This window comes from Homo sapiens, chromosome 17, assembly GCF_000001405.40.
Source record: "Homo sapiens chromosome 17, GRCh38.p14 Primary Assembly".
NCBI classification, from domain to species: domain Eukaryota; kingdom Metazoa; phylum Chordata; class Mammalia; order Primates; family Hominidae; genus Homo; species Homo sapiens.
This window is the reverse complement of record NC_000017.11, coordinates 3,998,209-4,025,678: the sequence shown is the minus strand read 5'-3', so window position 1 is coordinate 4,025,678 and position 27,470 is coordinate 3,998,209. Positions and strand designations below refer to the sequence as shown.

Genomic DNA, 27,470 nt, shown 5'->3' with positions numbered 1-27,470 from the left:
ACGGAGTCTGACTCTGTCACCCAGGCTGGAATGCAATGGCATGATCTTGGCTCACCGCAGCCTCCACCTCCTGGGTTCAAGTGATTCTCCTGCCTCAGCCTCCTGAGTAGCTGGGATCACAAGCGTGTGACACCACACCTAGCTAATTTTTGTATTATTAGACGGGGTTTTGCCATGTTGACCAAGCTAGCCTTGAACTCCTGACCTCAAGTGATCCACCCACCTTGGCCTCCCAAAGTGCTGGGATTACAGGCATGAGCCACCACGTCCGGCCTCATATATGCTATCTTTAAGAACTTTTGTTAACACCTGTGGAGATGGCCTGCTTATGCACAATAGTAAGAATGCAAATTGTCCCACTCAGTTGCTTGATGGATAGGTAGCCATTACTATTTTTGTGTTTACCTGCAAGCTGGCTTTATTGGCTAAGACTGAGCCCGAGAGATTTATGTTTCTGCAGTCCCTACTTTAGTAAGGCATGTTACTATAGAAGAAATAGCTGCTGGAAGCATGAACTGTACTTTTGTGCCTTTCTTTTTCTGCCTGATGTCACCCTTCAGTGAAGGACTACCAGCTGGTCCAGAAGGGAGGAGGACAAGAGTGTGGTGACTCTCGGGCCCAGCTGAGCCAGTACTCCCAGCACTTTGCCTTTATCGCCAGTCACCTTCTGCAAAGCAGCATGGACAGCCATTGTCCCGAGGCAGTAGAAGCAACTTGGGTCCTGTCCCTGGCCCTGAAAGGATTGTATAAAACACTAAAGGTAATGGGGAGCTTCTCCAGTTGGCAGTGGATCTGGCTATAATTTGACATCTGCATGGGGATTAACTAGGAGGAAATGCCATCTGATTTCGATGGATGGTAAACCATAGGATCTTGATTATTTTTAGAAACGCGTGGGCCTTACACACAGATAACTTCAAAGAGGAAATACAATTTTCCTGATGGCTTCTCTGTCTTTCCATTGTTTCAAGGAATCTGATACTACTACTTCATGGGAACACAACTTTGTCAGACGAGAAGAAAAATTGAAAAGTTTCTTACTTTCCTCTCTAAATGACAATTCCTGTGCTTCATCATAGAAGATGAAGGGAAGAATAGAGGGAGCTAGCCTCCTAGGGGATGAGCAACAGGTTTGACAGTTGGAGTGGAAGGAGGTAGACAAGTTGAAAAGCTGGGCGATGGCCAGGCACAGTGGCTCACAGCAGTAATCCTGGCACTTTGGGAGGCCAAGGCAGGTGGATTGCCTGAGCTCAGGAGTTCAAGACCAGCCTGGGCAACATGGCAAAACTCCATCTCTACTAAAAATACAGAAAATTAGCCAGGTGTGGTGGTACGTGCCTGTAATCCCAGCTACTCGGGAGGCTGAGGCATGAGAATCACTTGAACCCGGGAGGCAGAGGTTGTAGTGAGCCTAGATCATGCCATTGCACTCCAGCCTGGGTAACAGAGCAAGACTCCCTCTGTAAAAAAAAAAAAAAAAAAAAAAAAAAAACCTGGGCAATATTTGGCATGGAGATGAGCAGCTGACTTATGAGAATTTCCCATACCTGAGAGGCAGCGATTGGGAGGAATGATTTTTCAAGGAAACATATGTCAGCTCCCTTTTAGGATAATCTTCCCAACAGAGGATATCCATGAAAGGAGGAGCTCAGTTGAAGGCTGTTCGGTGGAAGCACTGATAGGGAGGTCATGGAGGGCACTCAACACCACAGCAGCTGGCCTCAGTGGCATTTCAGCTCTGATCCAGCCCTGGGAGTTTGTAGTTGTAGAATTGAGACCATTCATCTGCTGTTTCTTTTGTTGGTTGGTTTGTTTGTTTGTGGGTTTTCTCTGGCATTTCTTTGTTTGAGACAGGGTCTCGCTCTGTTGCCCAGGCTGGAGTATAGACCTGTGATCACGGCTCACTGCAGCCTCAAATGCTTTGGTTTAAGGGGTCCTCTTGCCTCAGCCTCCCAAGTAGCTGGGACTAACCACAGGCATGCACTATCATGCCCAGTTAATTTTTTTTTTTTTTTTTTTTTTGGAGAGACAGGGTCTTGCTAAGTTTCCCAGGCTGCTCTTGAACTCTTGACCTTGAGCCATCCTTCCACCTCCGCCTCTTGAAGTGCTGGGGTTACAGGCATGAGCCATGGTGCCCAGCCTGCTGTTTCTTTAGTTCATGACGTTTATCACAATGTGCTACTGTTTCCATTGTTTACATCATAGTAGGAAAGGGAAAATAAACTCCCTAAGGGCAGCAATAATTTCTGTCTTTGAATCCTTCATTCAGCAAATATTTGTTGAGCACCAAGGGCCAGATGGAACTGAGTATGTAGTGTTGGAGCCAGAAAGAAGGTCCCTGCTCTCCTGGAGCTTGTGGTCTGACCGGCAAGAGAGACAACAGGGGGCCTGCGAGAAAAACTGCTGTGGGTCAAAAAAAGCCTTTTTCTCTAGTAAAATTTGAACCGATAGATAAGGAGTCAGCTTTGGGAAAACTGGACAGAGCATTACACGCGGAGTGAGTAGCAAGCTCCAGGCCTCAAAATGGAACAAGCGTGGTGGTCAAGGAGCAGAAAGAACACCTCCCAGGCTTTAGAATAATGCAGGAAAGGTGGGGCGCAGCCGGAGAAGCAGGCAGGGACCTTGTAGGTCTTTGTCAGCCATGATCAGAGGCTTGGATTTTAGCCTAAAGAGCCCCAGACAGCTTTTGGAAGTTAGAGCAGGGGAGTGTGACATAAAATAGGCTTCATTCAAAAGTATGTGTTGAATGGACGAATGAATGAAAGAGTGAATGAACAGACTGAGTTACAGCTAAGGTTGTACCTTCTTCACTCCAAGGCAGTCACACATCATTCTTCTTCTGCTTGGCAGGCTCACGGTTTTGAGGAGATCCGTGCTACTTTCCTTCAGACCGATTTGCTGAAGTTGCTGGTGAAAAAGTGCAGCAAAGGGACTGGCTTTAGTAAAACGTGGCTCCTCCGGGACCTGGAAGTAAGAGACGAGAGGGACTCCTGCTCCTCTTTCCTGGTGCAGATGTGCTGGCCTAGGAGTTAGAAGCATCACCGAGTTCCAGCTGCTTCTGCCCTGTGCACACTCCTTTAGTACAGTGTTGAAAACTCCCTTGCTTCTGTATTCCCTGTTGGAAATAGGGATTATGACACCTGTCTACCCCTGTCAGGGAAAATGAATTTAATGTTTGTTCAAAGAACAGTGGAAGAGAAGCATTTTATGGAAACACATGATTAACCATTATATCATGGTAATAAAGTATACCCTTGAATTCATATTTCCCTTTAAAGTTGCTTTCAGCCAAAATCAGTCTCTAAATTTGTCCTCACTTATGTTTATTTGTACGTAGGATTTTAGTTGATCATTATAATTTTATTACTGTTCCCCGTAGACCTTAGAGTTTTCTTAGCGGAACTACTGTGGTTCCCTGTGGACTTTCTGTGCCCAGTGCCAACTTTCGGCCCAGGAAAGGCTGCCATCATGTAGGAGGGAGTGAGCGGCCATTCAGGCCCAGGAAAGGCTGCCGCCACATAGGAGGGAGTGAGCGGCCATTCACAGCCCAGCAGAGGCTGGAACCTGCAGAAACAGCTCTCAATTGCCAGAAGAGGATTTGGTTAGGTTTAAGGAAAATGTGCTACAACATATTAATGGATAATTTGGAGAGTATTTGAACTTTTATTCTTAGAGAATATTTTAAATTAAAATTTTTTATTATTAGAACTATATTGCAGAAAACTTTATAAAAGAAAAAAAAAAACCCTCCAAACTCTATATTCCAAACACAGCTGCCATTAGCGTTTTGTGTATTTTCTCCTTCTCGTTTTGTTTCTATGCATTTTGCGTTGCATGTGTAAATCTAGACTGCATCATGAGCATCGTATTCAAATAAATTGATGGCATGTGGGCTGCTTTCTAGGTTCTGATGTAGTTTTCATAATATTTGTTATGGCTACATATCATACATGAAGGTGGCTTTCAGTTTTTTTGGTATTAGTGCTTCACTGAGCATATTATGAAAATAACTTTGTATATTTTACATTATTCGTAACAGATGAGTTGCTGGGTGAAAGCATATGAGCATTTCCCTGGCTCTTTACATTTTGCCAAAAGAAGTTCTAAAAAGGACGATAGCAGTTGATACCATCTGTGGGGAAGTGAATAAACACAAAGGTTCCCATAGTGTTCAGTTAGTATTTCTTCGGTCACAAAGTGTAATTAAACATACATTCGTGTTTCTTTTCTAATTTCACATTCTTCAGGTAGATTCTGATGTCTTAAAAAGTTAGGCCCAATATTTTCATGATTAAAGGACTGTACCATCTTCCCGCCCACTGAGTGCTCACATTCAGCTGGATTTTCTTTCTGTGTAGATTTTGTCCATCATGCTGTACTCCTCAAAAAAGGAGATCAACGCTTTGGCTGAGCACGGAGACCTAGAGCTGGATGAGCGAGGGGACCGAGAGGAAGAGGTGGAACGGCCAGTCAGCAGCCCTGGCGACCCAGAGCAGAAAAAGCTGGACCCCCTTGAGGGCCTGGATGAGCCCACCAGAATATGTTTCTTGGTGTGTTCTTGAGTCATCTTGTGGCTTAGGAGGGGCTTCTGAGGGATGGCTTCTCTTTGGCCCGGGCCATGTTTTAGCCTAAACATGAAAATGCTTCTGTCTGCTGTCCTGAGAATTCACTTCCTAAAGACTCAGTCTTATGTTGTGCAGAATTGATCCAGAAGAACAGAAAAGCCCCACAACAATAGTTCTTAATATTTTGGGTTATAAACTCAAAAGCTTTAGGTCCTCTCTCCCCATAAAATACACATTCAAACATGTATGTAAAATTTTGCACGAATTTCAAGGGCTTACTAAAGCCCTAAGGCTCGTCCATGAACTCTATACGATAGTTCCTTCCTCATAGTTTCTCAGAAATACACTCTTACCTTTACTAGGTAATCTATTCTTCCTCAGAACAATATGAAAAGGATGAGGGCTTGGACTTCAGAAGTTGTGACTAAATGAAGAGTAAACAGAATGTAGCGTAGAATGTCAGAAAAAGCAAATCCCAGCCAGGCACAGTGGCTCACACTAGTAATCCCAGCACTTTGGGAGGCTGAGGCAGGAGGATCACTTGAGGCCAGGAGTTCAAGACCACCCTGGGTAACTTAGCAAGACCCTGCCTCTACAAAAAATAAGACTAGCCAGGTGTGGCATGCGCCTGTAGTCCTGGCTACCCAGGAGGCTGAGGCAGGAGGATCACTTGAGGCCAGGAGTTCAAGTTTACAGATTTTGCAGGAGAGTTTGCATCCCCTGGCACAGAGCATACATGCAATTCTGTATCCATGAATAAGTAAAAGCTATGAATCCAGTTGGCAAAATACAGAAAATGATGATGTCATTGATACTAACAGAAAAACTACTTTGATCAACATTGCTGACAAGTTTAAGTGCAGGTTAAAACTCCTCTTGCCTTTCTACGCTTTTGGGTACTCAGTGGTATGAGCTATGATCACACCACTGCACTCCAGCCTGGGCAACCAAGTGAGACCCTGTGTCAAAAAAAATCAAAAGAAAATACAGTGCCTATGTATGCGCTAGTTGTCAAACTTGAGTGTAAAACAGTTATAGAGACGCTAGCCGTGAATACGATGTGGTAAGTATCTACTGTCAGCATTGTATTTTGTTGACAGGATATTTCTTTGGGGTTTTAGTGTTTTATAATTTCCTTTGAAGTTACAGTCGTAGTGTAGGTGTTATAGTCCATGTTTTGGTGCTTACAATTTTATATGCTTTTTAAACTACCCATATAATGTTCCTCAATTATAACCTGTGGCAGCTTTTGCTATATTGTCTTCTCAGTTTTGAGTTCAGTTGATCAATACCGTATTGAAGCACTGTTAATGGTTCTTGTCTGCGTCCTCCCCTGGCCTCCAGATGGCTCATGATGCCCTCAATGCCCCTCTGCACATTCTCCGGGCCATATACGAACTGCAGATGAAAAAGACCGATTATTTCTTCCTGGAGGTTCAGAAGAGGTAAGGGACATTTCCGTGCAGCTGAAGTGTGGCCAGGGAGAGAATATGTGAGGGCGGGAGGGTGTGCGCCTCCTGGCAGCAGCTTCTGGATCGATCGACGCTCCGACAGGCCGGGAAGCAGTTGCTAGTCCTTTGTAAGGCGAGGTGGGAGGTGGCCTGTGCTACGTTACCTGGATCATCTTCAAAGTGCACTGTGGTTCCTCTTTAAAACTTATGTTTGTAGTCGGCCTCTGAGAGGAAACTCATTTTACAGACACAGAAATTGGGCAGGCACCAAGATGTCTCTCATGTGTAATCCCAGGGAGCAGACAGCACAGAGCAGGAACTTCTGCTCAAGATATTTTTAAAATTAAGAACATTCCCTTTCTCTTGGCCAGGAAGTTCAGAGCTAGTTTTTGGGCCCAACTTTTTAATTTGCGTAGAACTTTACATATCTGCAATCCAGTCTCCTCCATCCCCCGTATCCTAATTTTGACTTCTTACTCATTGTAAATTCTCATTTAATTTTTCTTTTATTTTGTGTTTCGTGTTTCTCTTTTATTAGTTTCTTATATATTGCCTAAAAGCCTTTATGAGGTGAAGCAGGGTTGCATTAGTTAGGGTACAGTCTAAGCTGCGGTAACTAAGAAACCAGAAATATAATGGATCAGGGCAGATAGAATTTGTTTTTCTCTCACATAACAGTCCAGAGGTAGGCAGAGTCTGGGGTGGGTGACAGCTCTGCTCCACAGAGGGACCCAGCAATCCCAGCGTTCTCATTTGTGGAGTGAAAGCTCCCTCGGCCACCCCACCTCTCGGTTCTAGCCCAGAGGAAAGAGGGGAGGTGGAGAAGGGAGTGCACCATTAGTCCAGTAGACTCCAGAGGTGGCACACCACCTCGCTCACCTGCACTGCCCAGAACCCAGGGGCATCAGCACATCTAGCTGCTAACCATGTCTCTAGCTGGGTGACTGTGGCTCTTGCTAAAACTCAGGGAGCTTTAGAGAGAGAGAAGGGCCACCGAGTTTCGGCCAGAGTCGTCCACCTGTTCAGACTGCGTTCAAATAAGGCAAACACCAGGCTGTAACCATTCCAGCTGTTTCTGTACCTCACTTCTGTTTTCTGTGTGTCAGTTTCCTTTTTCTGTTCGTAAACCTCCAACCACAGCAGTGGAGTCACTCTGAACCCATTCTGATTCAGGAGCTGCCCAATTCGGGGATCACTCTTTGCTCATTTAAACTCTGTTAAATTTAAAAAAAAAAGGAGAGAAGGGGAGTCCAGGCATGGTGGTATGAGCCTGTAATCGCAGCTACTAGGGAGGCTGAGGCAGGCAGGAGGATCGCTTGAGCCCAGGAGTTCCAGGCCGGCCCGGGCAACATAGCTCCAACACGTCATCTCTAAAAAAAACAAATAAATTTTTTTTAAAAATGTTTTTTTAATGAAAATAAAACATTTAAATTAATTTTAAAAATGGAAAAGATAGAAAAGGAGAATGGATTTTGCAGGAGAGTTTGCATCTCCTGCCACAGAGCATACATGCATTCTGTATCCATGCATAAGTGAAGGCTGTGAATCCAGTTGGCAAAACACGGAATATGATAATGTCATTGATACTAACAGAAGAACAACTCTGAAGAACATTGCCAACAAGTTTAAGTGCAGGTTAAAACTGGCCTGTCTACACTGTTGGTACTCAACTTTGTGCTGCCCTTCTGCAGGTTTGATGGTGATGAGCTCACCACAGATGAAAGGATACGGTCCCTGGCTCAGCGGTGGCAGCCCAGTAAGAGTCTGAGGCTGGAAGAACAGAGCGCCAAAGCTGTGGATACAGACATGATTATCCTGCCATGCTTGGTATGTCACCCGACCTCGGACCCAAAGTATCTGCACCCCATCCCCCACCCCATACCACCACTGTAAGAAGGCTAGACCTCTGTAATGGTGGTCTTGGGTTTGCAGTCCCGGCCTGCACGCTGTGACCAAGCCACTGCTGAATCGAACCCTGTGACCCAGAAGCTGATCTCCAGCACAGAGAGCGAACTGCAGCAGAGCTATGCCAAGCAGCGCCGTAGCAAGAGCGCCGCCCTCCTGCACAAGGAGCTGAACTGCAAGAGTAAGAGGGCTGTCCGGGACTACCTCTTCCGAGTGAACGAGGCCACAGCTGTCCTGTACGCCCGCCACGTGCTTGCATCCCTGCTCGCCGAGTGGCCTAGCCACGTGCCAGTGAGCGAGGACATCCTGGAGCTCAGTGGCCCTGCCCATATGACCTACATTTTGGATATGTTCATGCAGCTGGAAGAAAAGCATGAGTGGGAGAAGGTAGTTATGCAGACTGAGCTTGTGCTCACCCACCAGGTTCTTCCTCTGCCCCACAGGCTTCCTCCAGTGAGTGCTTCCTGGAGCGAGGCTACCTGTGTGGCTGTGCAGCTCCCTGACAGGTGTGAATGCAGCAAAGGTAGGGTCACTGTATCCTCTCCCAAGGATTGGGCTAGTGAGGAACTCAGGGGCCCTGAGCGCGATTTCCAGCTGAACCAGAAAGCTTTGTCGCCATCTTCCCAGTTTCCAAGTGCAGAAATCTTGAGGCACATTCGGTAGCTCCTTTTTGATCCTGTCCCTCACCCACCTTCACACACACACACGCAGTCCATGAGGAAGTTCATTTGGCCTCTCAGCCTTGCTTTGTCCATCTGAGAACACCACCAGACCTCGAGGTCTTTTCCCGGCCTTGCAGCCCTGCAGGTGCTGGCAGGCTTGCTCTAGCATATCTATCTTTCGGAAGGGACAGAGGGAGCCACCCTGCCTCTACTAGGCCCTTGCATAGGCGTGTCCTCCCACAGTTCTTGCCACCTAGAGCTCCCAACCCTGCACCTCACTCCAGGCATCGATTACATTGTGTGGTCATTATTTATCCATAGGCCAATCCACCTGCTTGGCTGGGGACTCCTTCAAGGACCAGGACCCTTTATGATTGGTTCAGTTAGTTCTTTCAGACCACCTCTAAGTAGCATCATTCTGAAAGGACTGCAGTGTCCTGATTGACACCAAGAGCCTGGTCAAGTGAGAGGTGGCTGGTGGAGTTGGTTTTGGGTGGTGGAGTCACAGAGGCTCGTCCTAGGTCTAAGATGATGCCAGCACCTTTGGGTGGAGCTTGGGTTGAAGTAAACTGTCCCTTCTTCCTGATGCCACTTGCAGGCCCTGACCTTATCTGTCTGCTTCCCACCAGATCCTGCAGAAAGTGCTCCAGGGCTGCCGAGAGGACATGCTGGGGACCATGGCCCTGGCTGCATGCCAGTTCATGGAGGAGCCAGGAATGGAGGTGCAAGTGAGGGAGTCGAAACACCCGTATAACAACAACACCAACTTCGAGGTAAGCCTGGGGCCGGCAGGCCCCATAAGAGCGACTGAGCCGCAGAGACCTCGTCAGCCCCTCCGTGCTCAGCCCCTCCATGCTCAGCCCCTCTGTGGCTCTCTCCCGCTGGACAGCAGAGACCTGTCCAGGAAAGTGCTTCCTTGAACAAACTGCAGTCTGCCTCCCTGAGGCCAGGGATTCTGTACAAGCAAGTCTTCTCTTCTCCGGACTTTTCTTGTTTTAATAGAAGAAAATGGGCCACCTAGCCCTGGAGGAGAGCTTTACTTTCCCTGCGGCAGGCTCCTCAGAGTGAGTCCTTGGCTTCACAGTGAGACAGTGAGTCTGAATGTGGTCCAGGTTGGACCCTCACTCTTCAGCTGCCACCTCATGACCTGCCCCCACCGTGGATACTACAGCCCCTTTTTAAAATTTCCCAGAACTGAATCAGAGTCTCATCTTTTCCATCCTTAACTTTGTGCCTGGGCAGGGAGGTAGGCATTTTGATGAGGCAGGAATGGGGCAGCCTCCGTTATTCTCATTGACTTAAGGCCATGTAGTCCCTTTAGCACTTTTTTTTGAGACGGAGTCTCACTCTGTCGCCCAGGCTGCAGTGCAGTGGTGTGATCTCGGCTCACTGCAACCTCCACCTCCCGAATTCAAGTGATTCTCATGCCTCAGCCTCCCTAGTAGCAGGAATAAAGGCACCTGCCACCATGCCCAGCTAATTTTTGTATTTTTAGTAGAGACGGGGTTTCACCATATTGGCCAGGCTGGTCTCTAACTCCTGACCTCAGGTGATCCACCCGCCTTGGCCTCCCAGAGTGCTGGGATTACAGGCGTGAGCCACCTCACCTGGCCCCCATTAGCGCTTTTAAAAATGTTGGAGAGAAAACTGAAATGTTGGAGTTGCCCAGGCATCTACTTCTGAGTGGAAGGCACCTGCAGCAGCGAAGGTGGATGATGAAAACCGATTTAGAACTGGGTTATTGGCCAGCTGAGATTTTGTTTTTCAGAAGTATAACCTGTCTTTCTTCCAAGTCTCTTCTCTTGTCATGTTCCTGGGCTCCAGCCCCACTCCCTTGGTCCCATACAGGCACATGTGGTCAGCCACCAGGTTCGATCCCAAAGAGGTCTTGTCTTCTCCACTGACCCTGGACACCCGTTGCCCTTCTCTGGGGTTCCTTTTGCTGCTACTTTCTGATTTCCTCACTTTTGCCTCAGCCCAGCCTTGCTCCACACCAGCTGTCAGTGATGCTACACTGTGCAAGCCTCACCAAAGCTTTCCAGGGTTTTCCCTGTTGTCCAGAGTCTGAGTGCCTCATTTTCATGCCCAGGGCCTTCAGTGTCTGCCCCTGCCAGTCTCTCTGGAGTCAGGTCTTGTCCCTGTTCCTGCTTCCCAAGCATACGTGCCCATGTAGCACACCCTTTACTCCAAACACGCCAAGCTCCTTGCCATTCCCTGAACATGCTAGACCTTCACAGGGCTGTTACCCTGTCTGAAATGCACCCCATGCACTCAGGTCCACCTTGTCTCCCACTCCCGCCTTCTCCTAACAGGGTCCTCCTGTCCTCTTCACTCTTCACAGCAGCCTGACACTCTTTCTCTGGGGCCCCGTGTTGCCTGCCCCGCTGTGCCTCCCTCGCACCATATTTGCAGTCTGTGCATGCTCCTCGCCCTAGCTGGACTCTGCACTCCTGGAGGCCAGGGCTGTGGTTCACTCATTCTCACACACCCGGGTCCAGCCACAGGACTCGGCATGGGACAGCTGCAGTCAGTGTCTAGTGAGCAGCATCGACAGATGTGTTCTCCATTTCCCCTCCCTAGGATAAAGTTCACATTCCTGGTGCCATCTACCTCTCAATCAAATTCGACTCTCAGTGCAACACAGAGGAGGGCTGTGACGAGTTAGCCATGTCCAGCAGCAGTGACTTCCAGCAAGACCGACACAGCTTCAGCGGGTCTCAGCAGAAGTGGAAAGATTTTGAACTTCCAGGTAGTGAAACAAATACTCGATTAGATAGGTTCTTCACAGGCAGTGTTTAAACTTAATATTGAGAAGGGAACTTACTGGAGAATGTTGAAACCCAACACCACTGCTGCCATTCCCTGTTGCTTCAGTTCCTGATGGGCCTCTGATCCTTGTGTGCCTAGGAGACACTCTGTATTACCGCTTCACCTCCGACATGAGCAACACCGAGTGGGGCTACAGATTCACCGTGACGGCCGGACACCTGGGGCGGTTCCAGACAGGTGTGTGCTCTGGGCTTTGCGTTCACACCATCTGCCTGCCAGGGACACTCCATGGCTGTGGGTGCCATGATGTCACTGATCTTGGTTAAAATCAAAGCAGGTACTTGTCTCTCACACTTTCCAAATTTGTCTCACAAGCCCCACACCTGTCACTCCTGAATGTGATTTCATTGGCTAGTTGTAAACTTGAATGGCCAGCTATGAGAAGCATTCTGTCAGGACCCGAAAAAGATGCTTATTCTCTTAGAATTTGCCAGGGCATTTTGAAAAAAGGAGGAACTGGAAATATGACCCCTGTGTTATTTTTACAAAAGCCTTAATTTCAGCCAGAATTTAAATGATCACAGTTATTAAAATTTGAGCAGTTTATAAAATGTAGAATTCTTAACGTACACAATTGTTATACTTTATTTAATAATAATATTACTTATTACGTATCTCTGTTTATATATCCGTGTTTTGGGGTGTTGGCCAGGATTCGAGATTTTGAAGCAGATGTTGTCAGAAGAAAGGGTCGTGCCTCATCTCCCATTGGCAAAAATTTGGGAATGGCTGGTGGGCGTGGCCTGTCGCCAGACTGGCCATCAACGATTAAAAGCCATCCACTTACTTCTGAGGATTGTGCGATGCTGCGGCCACAGGTAAGCGGTGTCCCGGATGGCAGCCCTTTGCCAGGCATATGTATCCCCACTCTGTGGCTGGCCCTTTCTTGCTGTTAGTGGTGACTTTGATGAAAAGACATTTGTGGCTTTAATGTCTTCCAGTTTTTCAGTCATTTGCTTTATGCTAGCGTTCTTGGTGTCTTATTTGAGAAATGTTTGCCTTACTCGAAGGTCATGAAGATATTCCCTGTTATCTTGTAGAACTTGTTTTTCCTTTCACACTTAGAGGAGTATCTGCCTGGAATGCATTTGAGTGTATGATAGAAGGGGTAAGCATCAAGTCAGTTTTGTTCCATTCGGATCTCCACTTGATTCTATAGATTTTTTTTTTTTTTTTTTGAGACAGAGTCTCACTCTGTCACGCAGGCTGGAGTGCTGTGGTGCGACTGTAGATCAATTTGATGAGAGTCAAGATCTTTAGAACATCAAGTCCTCTAATCCACGGCCATTATATATTCCTCTATTTATATTCCTCTATTGTTTAGGTCTTAGTAATATTTTAGAGGTTTCTATGTAGAGGACTTAACATTTTGTTAAATTTATTACTAGGTATTTAATGTTTTTGATACTATAATTGGTATTTTTTAATTTTAGCTTTGTTTTTGCTGATGTACAATTAATTTTTGTATATTGCCGTTATATCCAGTGACCTTACTTTGTTCATTCTAAGACTATATATGCAGATTATTTGGTGTACAGTCGTGTCATCTGTAAACAAATGTTATTTCTTCCTCTCAATGCTTAGACACTGTTCTTGCCTTTTGCGCTATAGGGAGGACATATAGTGTTGAATTGGGAATTGTAGACATAATTGCCTTATTCCTCATCTGTGAGAGAAGGTGGTAGTGACTGCGCCATATATGTTGTCTGTCTGCCTGGCCCCCACCCTCCTTGCTCAGAACCCTCCCTGTCAGGAGCTCATTCTTCCTCTTTCCTGCATTTCTAAGGCACACAGACACAGACACACAGAATGCTAGCCAGAGTGCAGTGATGATATTTGAAGTAACAGGTTGTCTTCTCATGGAATATGGAACTGTCATTAAAATAACAAAGGACTCTCAAAGTCAGGGGAGAGAACAAGATGGCTTGTGTAGTCAGTCCATAAGCAGCGTGGAGAGAGAGGGGAGAGCTGGGCATGCTTGCTGTTACCCCCGTGTCCTCATACACAGACAGGATCACTCAGCCCCACATGGGCTTAGCTCTGTTCACTTGAGCGTCGAGTCCAGTAAGCACAGTCTGGTTGAGCAGTGCTTATGAAACATGGAACATCTCCATGGTCTCCTGGCTGGTGGGCCCTTCTTGCCTGCAGCAGGAAAGAAGACCTGTGCCGCAGCCTGCACAGTCTGCTGGCCATTGGCAACCTTCTTTCCAGTGGGGACAATCCCGCACCCTCTGTCCCGAGCCCGGAGGGAACTCCCAGCATGCCTTGCCACCCTAGCCTCTTTCATGCGTGCTCCTCATAGAGTGAGAGAGGGGCCTGCCTGAGGGCTTGGCCCGGAGGCCACACACAAGGGGCAGTCCTCAGGGGAGGGACCTTCTCAGCTCGCAGGTACATTGTACCTCACATGCTCATGCTTCTCTGAAAACCCAGCTGGAAAGCTATCAGAATTTTCCTGTTTGTTTTATGAAGATTTATTCCTCTGGGAGAAAGAGATTGGCTTCAAGATAACAATTAAATATACACAATAATTTTTCAAGTCATAAGAGAAAAAGCAATTTTTTTTAAAAAAAAGCAAAATCCAATATTATATAATTATATATGGCCATATAACAAGTTCTAGAATATTATTTATTTCATAATTTTTCTTCTCCAAAGGATATTGAGTTGGAATTAAAACACAGCCTTCCTCTGAGTAAAAACACACACACACACAAAAAAAAAACCCCTCAGTTCATTCTCTCAGCAGAGGCTCTGCTTTACTTAGGGAAAAGCTTTCTGCCTGAGCAACCTTGCAAGCATCTTGTGTTTCATAAGCCCACCTGAAAATCATAACAATGGTAGTCATCGTTACCTTTTTTTTTTTGAAACATGGTCTGGCTCTTTCGCCCAGGCTGGAGTGCAGTGGCACCATCTCAACTCACTGAGGCCTCCACCTCCCGAGCTGAAGTGACCCCCCTCCCCTCAGCCTCCTGAGTAGCTGGGACTACAGGTGTACGCCACCACACCCAGCTAATTTTTCTGTTTTTTTATGGAGATGGGGTTTCGCCATGTTGCCCAGGATGATCTCAAATTCCTGAGATCAAGCAATCCCCCCACCTTAGCCTCCCAAAGTGCTGAGATTGTAGGTATGAGCCACCGCTCCTGGCCATCTTTTTTTTTTTTCTTTAATTTTTTTTAGAGGTGGGGTCTCATTCTGTTGCTCAGGCTAGAGTGCAGTGTGGCACCATCATAGCCACTGCAGCTGTGAACTCTTGGGCTCAAGTGATCCTTCCACCTCAGCCTCTTGAGTAACTAGGACTATAAATATGAGCCACCACGCTTGTCTTAAGTGTTCTTTTCTGTTTATAAAAGCAGTGAGCATTGTAGAAAACCTAGAAAGCTGATAGGGTCAACTGCTGGTGGCATCTTTTGTTGTGTCTGTTTACTGTTGTTTTTCTTATGCATAGAGAAAATGCTGTATATGCAGGTTATTTTTGAATTTTATTTTGTATATGTAGTTTTACATCTTGCTTTTTTTCTTTTTTCTTTTTCTTTTTTTTTTTGAGACGGAATCTCACACTGTCACTTGGGCTGAAGTGCAGTGATGTGATCTCAGCCCACTGCAACCTCCACCTTCAGGGTTCAAGCAATTCTTCTGCCTCAGCCTCCCTAGTAGCTGGGATTACAGGCGCCCACCACCACGCTCAGCTAATTTTTTGTATTTTTAGTAGAGACGGGGTTTCACTGTGTTGGCCAGGCTGGTCTCCTGGCCAACTCCTGACCTCGTGATCCGCCTGCCTTGGCCTCCCAAGGTGCTGGGATTACAGGCGTGAGCTACCGCGCCCGGCCACATCTTGCTTTTTTTCATTTAATATTTATCTTGAGATGAGTTCCCACTGTCACTGGAAAGTCTTCATAACTTTTTTTTTTTTAAGAGACAAGGTCTCACTCTGTTGCCCAGGCCAGAGTACAGTGGTGCACTCATGGCTCACTGCAACCTCCAACTCCTGGGCTCAAGCAGTCCTCCCACCTCAGCCTCTCGAGTAGCTGGGTGCTGTCACACACAGCTAGGTTTTTTTTTTGTTTGTTTTTTGGGGTTTTGTTTGTTTGTTTGTTTTTAATTTTTTGTAGAGACAGGGTCTCGCTTTATTTCCCAGGTTGGTCTCCAACTCCTGGGCTGAAGTGATCCTCCCACCTCTGCTTCCCAAAGTGCTGGGATTACAGGTGTGAGCCACCATGTGTAGCCCGTAACATCCATTTTTCAAGATGCACAGTAATCCCCGTGAGCACATTTCCGACCTCCTGTTCCCTTGGAGCCTGGTTTTAAAGTTTAGGTTCTGCCCCTTTCCTTCTTTGCTGTTGGTGACTATTCGTGGCTGCTTTGTGGGGAGCATAGGTGAGGCGACTTTATAATCATTTGTACCAGCTGTGGGAGAGGGAGGGTCTGAGCTGTGGTTCCTGCCAGCTGTAAGCCATGTGACCTTGGCATGGCTCTCAGTAAACTGACCACCTCCGGGGCTCCTCCTGCAGTGACCTGTGTGACCTTGCGCTGTTGAAGCCCCTGTGGCAGCTCTTTACCCACATGGAGTACGGCCTGTTTGAGGACGTGACGCAGCCCGGCATCCTCCTTCCCCTGCATCGTGCCCTCACTGAGCTCTTCTTCGTCACCGAGAACCGTGCCCAGGTGAGGCCTGAGGTCTGGGCAGGGAGCCCGGTGCCTCCATGTGCGTTTGCTCCCTCTGCTACCCAGGGCAGAAGCTGCTGCCTCATCCGAGCCTGAGTGGCCAGGGTCTCGACAGGCCACACAGGACAGGCATGGCTGAGAGTCTGAGGCTCTCGCCTCTCCCAGGCCTGGGAAACCCTCAGGTCAGCTCTGAGATTGCTTATTTTGTCAGGCCTAGAGCCAATGGGGGAGAAACTGCCCGGGATCAGCCCTTGACAACAGTGAGTTTTGGAAAATAAAACGATGGGTTATTTCTGCTTCCTTCTCTTTTTTTCCTCCCCTCAGCACAATAGACTGATTGAATGTGGGAGCTGAAAGGGCCTTTCAGAGTTCTTTAGCTTCCCTCTCCTTTCACACATGAGGAAACTGGCTTGAGGAGGGGTCCCGGCCTGGTCACCCAAGGGCAGGTGGAGGCAAAGGTGACCCCGGCACCGGGCACCTGGCTCCCGCCAGGGTTCTGAGCAAGGCAGTGCCACGCGGTGCTGGGCGGCGTGAGTAGCGTCCGCCCATGAGAGGCTTCTGCTTTCGCAAGCAGGTGTCCCAGGTGGTCTGGGAGAGCTGCACTGCGCATCTGGCGCTGTCACTCACAGCCCCTGCTCTCTCTCTGCAGGAGCTTGGCGTGCTGCAGGATTACCTGCTGGCCCTAACCACGGACGACCACCTTCTCCGCTGTGCGGCACAGGTACTCTCTCCACCCCAACAGAGCTGGCCCCCAGGCTGGGGCGCCACCATCTCACCATTGCCAGGGCAGAGAAGGTCTGTACATTGCGTCTGAGTAGGACAGAATCCACCCGGAGCTTACACAGAGCTTGTTCCAGTTCAGTCACTTCCTCCTGGTGCTCAGAGAGCATGCACGAGCCCCATTTATCAGAGTCATTCACTCTAAACTGTGGGGTCAGAAGAATTTGTGTCTTTAAAACCAAAACAACCGATGCCTTAAATTTAGTTTGGCTGATTCTTGAAGTTTCCGTGGAGTTAGATTTCACATATTTTTAGATGTGAGTTGCTTCTCTGGTAGCGGAACTCCTCTTCTGACAGCTGTTTGGTCTCAGGACGCTTCACACTTTTCACTGACTGAGGAGCTCAGAAAGCTTTTGGATATGTCTATTATGCATATATCCATATGTGCCATTAGAAACGAGATTTTCAATTTAAAAATTAAGCAAAAGTGTAAACCTTTATCAATTTATTTTTTTAAAGTAGTGAACCCATTTCATGTTAACATGAATAACACGTCTTGTGAAAAACGACTCTAACTTTTCAAAACAAAGTAATTACTGAGTGCTCTGGGACAAATAGGTGACCAAAAAAGAAAAAAGGAATGCCTGCAGAGGGTGGCGCTGTTGTGTTCCATCCTTGCAGACCCCTCTCATGTCTGGCCTCGTAGAAGACAGCTGGATTCTCATGTTCTCATGTCTGCTTCTGCAGTCAGTCAGATCACACGTCAGGCTCTGGAACACTCCACCATATACTCAGGAGAAGGAAAGTCAAAAATGAACCTTGCAGACCCCAAAAGGGTCTCGGGAGTCGCCTGGCCCCAGAGTACATTTTGAGAACCTTGGACTCCTTGAATATCATCGCGTGTGTGGCCCAACACCCCCACCCCCCCGGAGGACAGCTAGGGACACTGAGGCTCACAGGGTTACCCGTGGGTGGACACCCAGCCGGGACACCCAGCCAAGAGCCCTGCCTGAGCGCGGCGCTCTGTCCCTTGGAAGTAGTCTCCGAACACACCGCCCTTTTGCAGGAAAAGGGTCTTCTTTCCTGTTGTAGGCTTTGACGTGTACGCTCGGAAGTGGAAATGCCCCCAGCCCATACCGAAGAGTTTGTGTGAATTCACCCGAGACCTGTAGGCAGAGTAGAAACTCCCTTACCCCCAACAGCTACCTACCAGCATTGCCGCCGCCACCCCAGGTTTCATCACATCATGTAACGAAATTTTGATATTTGCCCGTCCTGGCCCCAAAGCTCAGCATGGCGGCTTGCCTGTGGGCGGGTCCCTCTTGCTGCCCCTGTCCAGTCTCCATTTCCTCCTTACCCTCTTCTGACCCCCCCCACAGCCTGTTGAGTGTACTGCACCAGTGTCCTGACGTTTCTCCCTGACACGTCTCCCTGCCAACCCCCTCTTCCTCCCTCTGCCACCTCCACCCTCTTGCTGCCCAGACCCTGAAGGCCTGACGGGCCTGGCCTCGCCTCCAGGGCATCTCAGTGCCCTCCTGGCCCTGTTTTCTCTACTCCCTCTGGTCCCCAGCACTGGCTGTTCGTTTCCTGTGAGTGCCTTGCCCTTCCCCACCTGCATCTTTGCACTGTTTTCCCCAGAGAGTTTTCCCAGACCTCTGCAGACAGCCTTCTGAGCCTCCGCCCTGGGACTGCCCCTCTGGGCAGTGATGATTCCTACCTACATTTGGAGCTTTCATGTGCTCTTAATAGCATTTTTTTTCTCTCTCCACTCTGCAGGCCTGTGGGGGAGGGGAACACATCTGGTTCCCCTCCTCCGTCCCCACATCCTCAGTGCTCAGCTGAGGGTCTTATCAGCACTCACTGAATGAGGGAGTGGCTCCCGACATTGGCGACAACTCTTTTTCCCTCTACAGGCTCTGCAGAACATTGCTGCCATCAGCCTGGCCATCAACTACCCAAACAAGGCCACCCGCCTCTGGAATGTGGAGTGTTAGCCCTTGGTGGGGCGTGCATGGGACTAGTTCATCTGCCACAGGGATTTTAGAGCAGACATCTAACCTCATTCAGGAAAACTCCTGTAGCGCCAGTGCCCAGCTCTCCTTGAGCTGACCACTCCAGTTAGGATGCCAAGCAGCCACGTCTCCAAGAGCTCCCGTGCGTAGGCTGGACACAAGCACAGGCTGTAGCATGGTGAAAATAAGCCAAGCAGTGCAGAATGCCTCAGAAAGGGTGGGCAGGGGGCCCTTAAGAAGGTTCAGAGACCAGCCTTCTCCAGAGGCTGTCACTGCAGGAGCCGTGGGCCTGGGAAGACTTGGAAGCGGCCTCTCTCAACTGGTTTCTGTCTCCGTGGAGCTGGAACTGCCTGCACTTGCCTTCAGAGGGAGGCACAGTCCACCCAGATCCACCTTTCCAGCAAGACCCCCAGTGGCTGCCCAGCCTGGGAGCACCTCTTTGCTTTTCACACCAAACCAAAACTGGCGAGAGCCCCTCCTAGCCACCAGTGATCCCCAAGCATCCAGTACAGAACCAGGCATCGAGCTAGCTCCCTGCACGGCCGCACCCTCCCAGAGAACTCCTTGAGGAGAACAAGTGCCCTTGGGGACAGCCGGCAGGCGCCCCTGTACGTCTGCTCATGCACCAGGCAGCACAGCCGCAGTTCCTCAGTTGTTGTTTTGACATATTTCAGTTTCCACCTCACGTTTTTAGAGCAGAACCACACTGTCTCCCTGGAGGGGCTCGAGGGCATGACCGGGGACTGACCATTCTGTGAAAGGAGCAGAATGTGAGGAGCACGCGTGAGCTTATGTACCGTGAAGATGATCAGAGGATATCTTATTTTAAGAGTAAAAACCCACATAATTTTATTTCTGCTTGATAGTCATGGTAGTCTGTCATACCCACCTCTGGGACTCTGCGTGGCTGTTTGGCTGTCACTTGTAGCAATAACGACATTAGTTCTAGTCAGTGCTGTTTTACATTTTTCTTTTGATGGGTTTAGTCTTGCCCTGGAGTGCCGATGATGATTCTCCCTCCAGAGCCACGCTTGGGAACATGAAGCAAGTCTGGCGTGTGGGCTGCGTGCCGGCCTTAGTGGGACCCGTGGGGTTGGAGCATGCCTTTAGGGGCAGTGTCTGGGCCGAAGCACGTCCCACCACACAGTGCCAGAGCCAGAGAAGGGGCCCCACCACCAAGGCCAAGCTTGACCAGGTCAGCATTGCCATGGCCCAGTGTGCCCCGTGGCCTCTGAAGATCCCTCTGTGCAGGGTCTGCAGGGATCTGGATTGCAAGGGCCCAAGTCTGCAGGTCTGGAAGCATCTTCCTATAAGAGCACTTTCGCCTTCTGGGTCAGGACTCCAAGGTGCAGCGGGCTTCACAGCCCTACAATTGGGTTCTCAGCTAAGCCCCAGAGTTCTGGTAGAACCATCCCGGGGCGGGTGGAGGGTGGGATTTAAGGGAGACGGGAACACATGGGGCAGGTCCTGGAACTTGGTGGCCTGAGGACTGAGGCCATTGCCCTGGTGGAAAGGCCTGGCCTGGTTCCTGTGGCTTGGGACCTGAATAGGCAGGTGCTGCTGGCTCCGTAGAAACCCTTTTCCCATCTTTTGCTCTTTGCCAAACCTACCTTGCTTTGGGAGCTGCCTGCACCACCCCAGAGAAGGCCCCACCTTCTTCATCCCTCAGACCCGAGGAGGCCTCCCAGTAAGGAGTTTCCCAAGAGGGGACTCACAGGAAACAAGTCTTAGTGCTTGGGAGGGAGGCCCCGCTGCGTGCTCAGACTCACAGCCAACCTGGAAGGTAGACGAGATAGCGCCACCCACGCCCCTCCACACCCCAGACTCCGAGTAAAGCGGGCGGTAGGGCCGGAGTCACCTCCCCTATGGCAGTGGCCGCCGCTGTACTCCATCCTCCCGTCAGGAAGATCAGCTGTAAATAAACGCTGGGCTCCCCAGAGCACCTGTCCGCCCACTGCCCTTGCTGTTCTGGGATCTTCGCTGCAGTTCACGGGAAACAAGCCTGAGTCCGCTCGCACCCGCGGCTGCTCTCCCGGCTCGGCCCGGCCGCCTCTGTCTCCGGCCACCGGGTGGCGCTGCCGAGCCAGAGCCGCCGCGTCCCGGCGCTTTCCAGGAGCCCCAGGCCCGGAGGAGGCGAAGCCCGCAGAGCAAAGGTGGAAACACGTGCCTACGCTGTAAAGAAATCCTGTTCCAGAGCATACCTGTTGTACAAACAGACACTGTTCCTAACGAGAGGAGTGACGTATTTTCATCACCGTTTTTAATTTGTTTTCTTACGGGTTTACGATTTTGAATTTTTCTTATTTGGTTGAAAGAATTTTGATTCTATCAGCCTGAGTGAGTTCAGCCTGTAAAAAGGATGTTAAGCTGTGGGTAAAATATGCAAACGAAAAGAAATATATTGTACAAATTCTATATAATAAGGTACGCCTGTGTGTGGACTGGTCTCTCCCTCCTCCCTCCGCCCCGCCGTGTCTCGTGGAGCTCAGGCGTGGAGTTTACACCGCGCCCGAACGGATGCGAGGCGGAGACTCGGGGGCTCAGGGCTGAAAGAATGGAAAGCTGCTGTAGGCCTTCCTCCAGATCATCCTCCTCCCAAGCCCGAGCCAAGCCCCCGCCCCTCCCCCGGCGATCCCAGGGCTTTGGTTCTCCCCCCACCCCCCTGCGGCCATCCGGAGGTTTCCACACACAGGGCGCCGTGGGGGCCTCTGCTCTTCGGCCAGGCTCCCCTGGCCCCACCGCCCGCCGTGGACCTCTCTGGTAGCCCGCAGGACACTGCGGAACCCGGAGGAGGAAGGCAGGGCCCCAGGCAGTGCGCCTGCTGCCTTCCTGGGACTGGCTGCCTTCCCGCCGGCCTTTGGACCCTGCCTCTGGCCCAAGTGTGGCCTGAGGTTTACCTGGGCCTCCCGCTTCCTCCTCCTCCCCGCCTCTGCTTTGCCACGCGCTGCTCTGTCTCCTTCCCAGAGGCATTCTGGGGCTGAGGACTGTCTGGCAAATTACAGAAGCGTGCCTTCTTGGCAGGGGCTGCACTTAACCAACCTTTGAGGCCCATTTGTTCCAGCCCGACAGAGTCTGACACATCCCCCAAAGCCCCAGACTGCTTTCGGGGGAGCCCCAGGCAGGGTCTGGACCCAGCCTCAGCCCTCACTATCCCTCAGCCCAGAGAGAAACCTGAGACTCAGCAGGACTGGGTGCTCCCAGGCCTGTGCCGCTCCCGAGGCGATCTCTAGGACCTGGTGCAAATGTTGATGCCCTCCCCGCCTCACCTTGTCCGGAGCACACTGGGGCTTCACTCTGAAAAGCAGGCGCGTCCATCTGAGCCCTGCCCGGCTAGTGTGACTAAGCCAGCACCAGCGGACTAAGAAGAAGGCCACAGAGAGCCAAGCAAGTTGAGCCCAAGCTTTTAGAACTGAAGAGAAACACAGGGTTCCACCAGCTGAGCCTCATTTATCGAGAGGCAGAAGCGGTGGGAAGTCAGCCTCGAACCACGCGGGAGGCGGGTGGAGAGCCCCGGCCCCCAGCCACGGCTGCAGCACAGAGGCGCTCAGCGCGCGCTCACCCGCTCAATACATGCCCTCCACAGACCTAGCGCCGGGGCTTCATGCGGAACCACCAGTGAGCAGCCCAGGCACTCAGACGGAAGCCAAGTCAAAACACGGCCCTGGCCAGGTGTGGTGGCTCACGCCTGTAATCCCAACACTTAGGGAGGTCGAGGTGGGTGGATCACCTGAGGTCGGGAGTTCGAGACCAGCCTGACCAACATGGAGAAACCCCGTCTCTCCTAAAAATACAAACTTGGCCAGGCCTGGTGGCGCATGCCTGTAATCCCAGCAACTCAGGGGGCTGAGGCAGGAGAATCGCTTGAACCTGGGAGGCAGAGGTTGCGGTGAGCTGAGATGGCACCATTGCACTCCAGCCTGGGCAACGAGAGCAAAACTCTGTCTCAAAAAATAAAAATAAATAAAACACGGCCCTGTCGCTTCCCTAGCTGCCATCTCCTACCCCTCCCCTCCTTCCCTGCTGACAAAATCCAATTTTTTGCAGGTGGTGACTCTACACAGTTTAATCTCAAGAAAGGTAGGACTTTCTACTAGCTCATGAGGAAAGTCATGATTAAGTCCTCCCTGCTCCCTCCCCCTGCCCACCCCAAGTAAGCTCGCTTCTGTGTCCCAGCCCTTCTTGCAGTGAGGCCGTCAGAGGTGTCTGAACCAGAGCAACTCCATTTTGAATAGGGGCTGGGTAAAATAAGGTTGAGACCTACTGGCTGCATTTCCAGACGGTTAGACATTCTGAGTCACAGGACGAGATAGGAGGTCGGCACAAGATACACGTCATAGAGGCCCTGCTGATGAAACAGGTTGCAGTAAAGAAGCTGGCCAAAACACCAAAACCCAGATGGCCACAAGAGTGACCTCTGGTTGTCCTCATTGCTACACTCCTACCAGCGCTGTGACAGTTTACAAATGGCATGTCAATGTCAGGAAGTAACCCTATATGGTCTAAAAAGGGGAAGCATGAATAACACACCTCTATTTAGCATATAATCAAGAAATAGGCCAGGCACGGTGGCTCATGCCTATAACTCCAGCACTTTGGGAGGCTGAGGCAGATGGATCACGAGGTCAGGAGTTTGAGACCAGCCTGGCCAACATGGTGAAACCCTGTCTCTACTAAAAATACAAAAATTAGCCAGGCATGGTGGTGCGTGCCTGTAATCTCAGCTACTCGGGAGGCTGAGGCAGCAGAATCACTTGAACCCAGGAGGCGGAGGTTGCAGCGAGCCAAGATCACGCTACTGCACTCCAGCCTGGGCAACAGAGTGAGACTGTCTCAAATAAATAAAAAGAAGTAACCATAAAAATGGGCACCTCGAGGCTGCTCTGCCTTTGGAGTAGCCATTCTTTATTTCTTTCCGAATAAACTTGTTTTCACTTTACTCTGTGGACTCACCTCAAATTCTTTCTTGCATGAGATTCAAGAACCCTCTCTGGGGTCTGGATTGGGACCCCTTTCTGGTAACAAGGCGGCTCTATGGCTGCATTCTCCAGAGGCTCTGGGGAAGGAGCCCTGCTCCTACGCACTCCCTTTGTGCCGAGACGAGATGTCAGCTGGAGGCTGACAAGCCAACACTCTGGGGCGGTGGGAGCAGAAAGCCAGGAGTCTGACAGTCTGACTCCTTCATTCCATTGTTTGAGCCCTAGAACTACCCATCTCCAGGAGGTGGCAAGGTGTCCTCTCACCTCAGCGGAAAGTATTTCTGACCCAACTTTATGCAACAATTTGGCTCCAGTAGGTTGAAATAATGTCACAGCTCTCTTCTCATGACATTAAATATGGACAGTATATGGAAAGGAAATGTAAAAATTCCAGAAATAAAAAGGCCTCCAACAGTGTCCAGTCAAGCCACAGATGGCATCCAGTTGCTCCATTACCAAATTCTCCTTCTCTCTTGGGGTTCTTGGCGTACGTAGCTTTGCTCATGCCCAACCAGCTTCTAGACTTCCTATCTGGAGGCGCTGTCCCAGGATTCGTTGGGATTTCTTCAGTTGCAAGTTAAAGACACTCCAAACTAACTTAACACGGAAATGGATTGACTTACAAAACCGAAAAGCCCGAGGGTTGCCTCTAGCCCCAGGCAAAGCTAAATTCCAGGGACTCAAAGATGTCGGCTCCCTCTCTCTCCCGCCCTCCATCCTGCCTCTTCCTCCTCTTCCTCCTCCGCTCATTCTCCTGCCCTGCTTCCACCTGGGTTTTCAGGCAGGTGAGGGCGAAAATTAAAGCACCAGGTGATGGCTCTCTCCTCTTCCTCGCGGCCACTGACCACCTCTGATTCCCCAGTGGAGAGGGCTTCTCACTCTCTCTTCATGTGAGGCTTCCCAAGCTGTTGGCTGGTATCTTCTAGCCGTGAGTTAATTTACTGTTTTTTGTTTGTTTGTTTTGTTTGTTTGTTTGAGACCGAGTCTCACTGTCACCCAGGGTGGAGTGCAGTGGCGCGATCTCGGCTCACTGAAACATCCACCTCCCGGGTTCAAGCGATTCTCCTGCCTCAGTCTCCCGAGTAGCTGGGATTACAGGTGCCTGCCACCACACCTGGCTAATTTTTTGTCTTTTTAGTAGAGATGGGGTTTCACCATGTTAGCCAGGATGGTCTCGATCTCCTGATCTCATGATCCACCCGCCTCGGCCTCCCAAAGTGCTGGGATTACAGGTGTAAGCCACCACACCCGGCCAATTTACTGTTTTAAAAGCTACCTGGGAGACCCATGAGTTTGTGTTGTCACCTCAGAATTGCTGAGCAACACAGCATCCATGACAATGGCAGAAGTACCCACGCAGCCACTGTGAGCCTCGTCAACACATCAGCTGGACCACTCAACCACTCGGCCAGGCAAGATGCCCCCAGATGTGGCAGGCAGCTTATCCACTAGTGAGTTTAGAAATTTGCAACAGAAGTGGAGAGACAGACATTTAAAACAACTGATCTTAAGACCAGAAAAAGGTGAAATGCAGAAGAATGAGCACATGTCTATCAAGCAGATGCAAACAGAAAATCAGAGTTATTCAGCATCAGGCAATATAATTTGAGACAAAATTAAACTGGGCAAGGCCAGGCATGGTGGCTCACGCCTGTAATCCCAGCACTTTGGGAGTCCGAGGTGGGGGGGATCACTTGAGGTAAGGAGTTCAAGACCAGCCTGGCTAACATGGTGAAACCCCATCTCCACTAAAAATACAAAAATTAGCCGGGCGTGGTGGCGGGCGCCTGTAATCCCAGCTACTTGGGAGGCTGAGTCACGAGAACTGCTTGAACCTGGGAGATGGAGTTTGCAGTGAGCCAAGATCACGCCATTGCACTCCAGCCTGGGCAACAAGAGCAAAATTGCGTCTCAAAAAAAAAAAGGTAGTTCTTCAGGCTAAAAGCAAGTTACCCCGGATGGCAATTTGAATCCACAAAAAGCACTGGTAAAAGTAATTATGCAATTATAAAAGACAGTATAAATTCATTTTTCTTCTCAACTGATTTAAAAAGCAACTGTATAAATATGAATATAACATATTGTTAGGCCTATTACATATAAAATGTAGTATATTTACCAAAAGCAAGACAAGAAAGGTGGGTGGGAGCAAAGCTGTACTGGGCTAAGGAAATGACTCCAGATGTCACTCAAATCCACGAGAAGAAATGAAGAGAACTAGAAATTATTTTATTTATTTATTTTTTGAGACGGAGTCTCGCTCTGTCGCCCAGGCTGGAGTGCAGTGGCGCGATCTCGGCTTACTACAACCTCCACCTCCCGGGTTCACGCCATTCTCCTGCCTCAGCCTCCCAAGTAGCTGGGACTACAGGCGCCGCCACCACACCTGGCTATCGTATTTTTAGTAGAGACGGAGTTTCACCATGTTAGCCAGGCTGGTCTGAAACTCCTGACCTCAAGTGATCCCCCCGCCTCGGCCTCCCAAGGTGCTGGGATTACAGGCATGAGCCACCGTGCCCGGCCTAGAAATTATTTTTTTAAAAAAGAGGATTAATATAATAAAAGCTGTATATACTTATTCTCCTTTTTCTCTCAGCTTCTGTAGAAAACATAAAATTATTTAAAGTAATGATTATAACAACTTATTGTTGGGCTTGTAACATTTATAGATGTGATAGTTATAACAACAATGCCACAAAAAGGAGAGAAAGGGAAAAAAGCTACATAGGAGTCATGTTTCTACATCTCATTAAAATTAAAGTTAATATAAATCTTAAGCTGAGGCTGGGCGCGGTGGCACATGCCTGTAATCCCAGCACTTTGGAAGGCTGAGGCAGGTGGATCACCTGAGGTCAGGAATTTGAGACCAGCTTGACCAACATGGCAAAACCCTGTCTCTACTAAAAAAAAAATACAAAAATTAGCCAGGCATGATGGCACACACCTGTAGTCCCAGCTACTTGGGAGGCTGAGACAGGAGAATTGCTTGAACCTGGGAGGCAGAGGTTGCAGTGAGCCGATATTGCGCCACTGTACTCCAGCCTGGGTGACAGAGCGAGACTCTATTTCAAAAATAAATAAATAAATAAATCAGAAGCTGATTCTAGTAAGTTAAAATGTATAGCCAGGTGCAATGGATCAGGCCTGTAATCCCAGCACTTTAGGAGCCCAAGGCAAGAGGATGAATCGCTTGAGCTCAGGGGTTGGAGACCAGCCTGGGAAACATAGTGAGACCTCATCTCTATAAAAAATAAACAAAATTAGCCAGGCATGGTGGTGCTTGCCTGTAGTCCCAGCTGCTCGGGCGACTGAGGTAGGAGGATTGCTTAAGCCCAGCACATCAAGTCTGTGGTGAGCCATGATAATGCCACTGTTTTCCAGCCTGGGTGACAGAGTGAGACGCTGTCTCAAAAAAAAAAAAAAAAGTATATAAAACCCTAGATCAACAACTAAGAAAATGCCAAAAATATACTTCAAAAAAATCATCATAGAAATGTAAATGCTACCTTAGAAAATATTCACTTAATGCAAAGGAAAGCAGTGAAGGAAGAATGAGGAACAGAAAAGACTTGAGACATAGAAAACAAAAAGTAAAATGGCGGCATAAATCCAACTATACCAATAATATTAAATGTAAATGGATTAAACAATGTAATCAAAAGGAAGATTATTGTACTGGATAAAAAA

At 49.2% G+C, this 27,470-nt stretch overlaps 1 protein-coding gene across 8 annotated transcripts in view, besides 4 other annotated features; it reads left to right on the top strand.

Moving 5' to 3' along the window:
• The window catches only part of ZZEF1 (zinc finger ZZ-type and EF-hand domain containing 1), a 138,586-nt gene extending 117,352 nt beyond the window's left edge, over positions 1-21,234 (top strand). For 3 of the 8 annotated variants that reach the window (XM_017024383.2, XM_017024382.2, XM_017024384.2), the window contains 12 exons: positions 561-760; positions 2,851-2,970; positions 4,359-4,550; positions 5,910-6,010; positions 7,708-7,843; positions 7,949-8,308; positions 9,213-9,356; positions 11,164-11,332; positions 11,491-11,589; positions 12,065-12,230; positions 15,922-16,075; positions 16,725-16,989. In XM_017024383.2, the coding sequence (XP_016879872.1) occupies positions 561-760; positions 2,851-2,970; positions 4,359-4,550; positions 5,910-6,010; positions 7,708-7,843; positions 7,949-8,308; positions 9,213-9,356; positions 11,164-11,332; positions 11,491-11,589; positions 12,065-12,230; positions 15,922-16,075; positions 16,725-16,889 (2,006 nt within the window). In that variant the 3' untranslated portion in view covers positions 16,890-16,989. Of the gene's footprint in view, positions 1-560; positions 761-2,850; positions 2,971-4,358; positions 4,551-5,909; positions 6,011-7,707; positions 7,844-7,948; positions 8,309-8,904; positions 9,047-9,212; positions 9,357-11,163; positions 11,333-11,490; positions 11,590-12,064; positions 12,231-15,921; positions 16,076-16,724; positions 16,990-18,708 lie in introns of those variants that run through there. The other 5 variants (NM_015113.4, XM_005256561.3, XR_007065288.1 and 2 more) reach the window with 4 other exon arrangements.
• Positions 7,100-7,149: an enhancer, noted in NCBI's record as "active region_11531". NCBI's record gives its function as "activates an Ori minimal core promoter by ATAC-STARR-seq in GM12878 lymphoblastoid cells {active_cell/tissue: GM12878}" and the evidence as "EXISTENCE:reporter gene assay evidence [ECO:0000049][PMID:35858748]".
• Positions 17,617-18,584: an enhancer, noted in NCBI's record as "H3K4me1 hESC enhancer chr17:3910389-3911356 (GRCh37/hg19 assembly coordinates)". NCBI's record gives its function as "activates a minimal SCP1, AML or CMV promoter by ChIP-STARR-seq in primed H9 embryonic stem cells {active_cell/tissue: H9 hESC(primed)}" and the evidence as "EXISTENCE:reporter gene assay evidence [ECO:0000049][PMID:30033119]".
• Positions 20,751-20,830: a silencer, noted in NCBI's record as "silent region_8031". NCBI's record gives its function as "represses an Ori minimal core promoter by ATAC-STARR-seq in GM12878 lymphoblastoid cells {active_cell/tissue: GM12878}" and the evidence as "EXISTENCE:reporter gene assay evidence [ECO:0000049][PMID:35858748]".
• Positions 20,931-21,010: a silencer, noted in NCBI's record as "silent region_8030". NCBI's record gives its function as "represses an Ori minimal core promoter by ATAC-STARR-seq in GM12878 lymphoblastoid cells {active_cell/tissue: GM12878}" and the evidence as "EXISTENCE:reporter gene assay evidence [ECO:0000049][PMID:35858748]".
• Positions 21,235-27,470: the final 6,236 nt, after the last annotated feature.